The 1485-nt window shown below is 43.0% G+C and overlaps 1 annotated feature.

Moving 5' to 3' along the window:
* Positions 785 to 864: an enhancer, noted in NCBI's record as "active region_23567". NCBI's record gives its function as "activates an Ori minimal core promoter by ATAC-STARR-seq in GM12878 lymphoblastoid cells {active_cell/tissue: GM12878}" and the evidence as "EXISTENCE:reporter gene assay evidence [ECO:0000049][PMID:35858748]".

Genomic DNA, 1485 nt, shown 5'->3' with positions numbered 1-1485 from the left:
TGCAAAAAGCAAAACAGCACACCAAAAAGATAAGAGGAAGATGGGACTATGTGAGATCTTTCTTACCTTTTCTCATCTGTGCTTTCTACATTAAAAAAAAAAAAAAAAAAAAAAAAAAAAATTAAAGCCAGCCGCAGTGGCTCACACCTGTAATCCCAGCACTTTAGAAGGCCGAGGCGGGCAGATCACTCAGTCAGGAGTTCAAGACCAGCCTGGCCAACATGGCAAAACCACGTCTCTACTAAAAATGCAAAAATTAGCTGGGCATGGTGGCACATGCCTGTAATCCCAGCTACTTGGGAGGTTGAGGCAGGAGAATCACTTGAACCCAGGAGGCAGAGGTTGTAGTGAGCCAAGATCGTGCCACGGCACCCCAGCCTGGGCAACAGAGCAAGACTCCATCTCAAAAAAAAAAAAAAATTAACCATATTAGACTTTTATAAAAAGGGGGAATTTGTTAGTTTGAAAGATAGATAAAGGAAGAGAGAGAGGCAGGAGGAAATATAAGGGAAGGAAAGGAGATCAGAAAGCAGGGATTCATAGACATCTTCCCCCCAACCTGCTTCCCCCTCTACAAACTCTGCCTCTTCAAAACCTCTGGGTGAAGAAAAACAACACTAGCCATGCTGCTAGTAAAACATTACAGACAAAAGACTAGAAACATAGATCCAATGCACCAACAGATAGTAAATATTTATAGAGCAGAGATAAGTGCCATTTAAGGGTAATTTGAGGCAAACAGTGGTTGTCTTTCTCATGCATTCTAAAAGCATGAAAGTATTAAAAAAACTACCCAAAAGTTTTCAACCAAGTAGAATGATCTAGGGCAATATGGGAACATCATCTTCTTTCAAAAGCATCTCAAGGGAAAATACAGTTTACAGCAAATAGTATTAGGGAAATGATTACGTAGAGCAGAACTTCTTGTGGTTCCCAGCCTGAGTCTGGTAAAAACCATGGCACAGTGTTGTGACCAGAGGGTTGGAGGATGCAGACTGCTTGGCTGCCATCCCTTCACTTCTGCTTGCCAAATGAGCCACCTACTTGGTCTCTGTCTGCCTCTGTCGCCTCAACCTGGGGACAGAAAAAATATTGGAGGCTGGGGACAGTGGCTCATGCCTGTAATCCCAGCACTTTGGGAGGCCAAGGAGGTTGGATCACTTGAGGTCAGAAGTTCAAGACTAGCCTGGCCAACATGGTGAAACCCCATCTCTACTAAAAATACAAAAATTAGCTGGGCATGGTGACAGATGCCTGTAATCCCAGCTACTCGGGAGTTTGAGGCAGGAGAATCACTTGAACCCAGGAGGCAGAGGTTGTAGTGAGCCAAGATCACATCACTGCACTCCAGCCTGGGCGACAGAGTAAGACTCCATCACAAAAAAAAAAAAGAAAAAAAGAAAAAGAAAAAAGAAAAAAATATTCGTACCTCACAGGGCTTTTATTAGGATTAAAAGAGTTGCTGCATGTAAAATGTTTAGAGCC

This window comes from Homo sapiens, chromosome 5 (assembly GCF_000001405.40).
Source record: "Homo sapiens chromosome 5, GRCh38.p14 Primary Assembly".
NCBI classification, from domain to species: Eukaryota; Metazoa; Chordata; class Mammalia; order Primates; family Hominidae; genus Homo; species Homo sapiens.
Note: the sequence above shows the minus strand (reverse complement) of the source record. Positions and strands in the feature narration are given on the sequence as shown.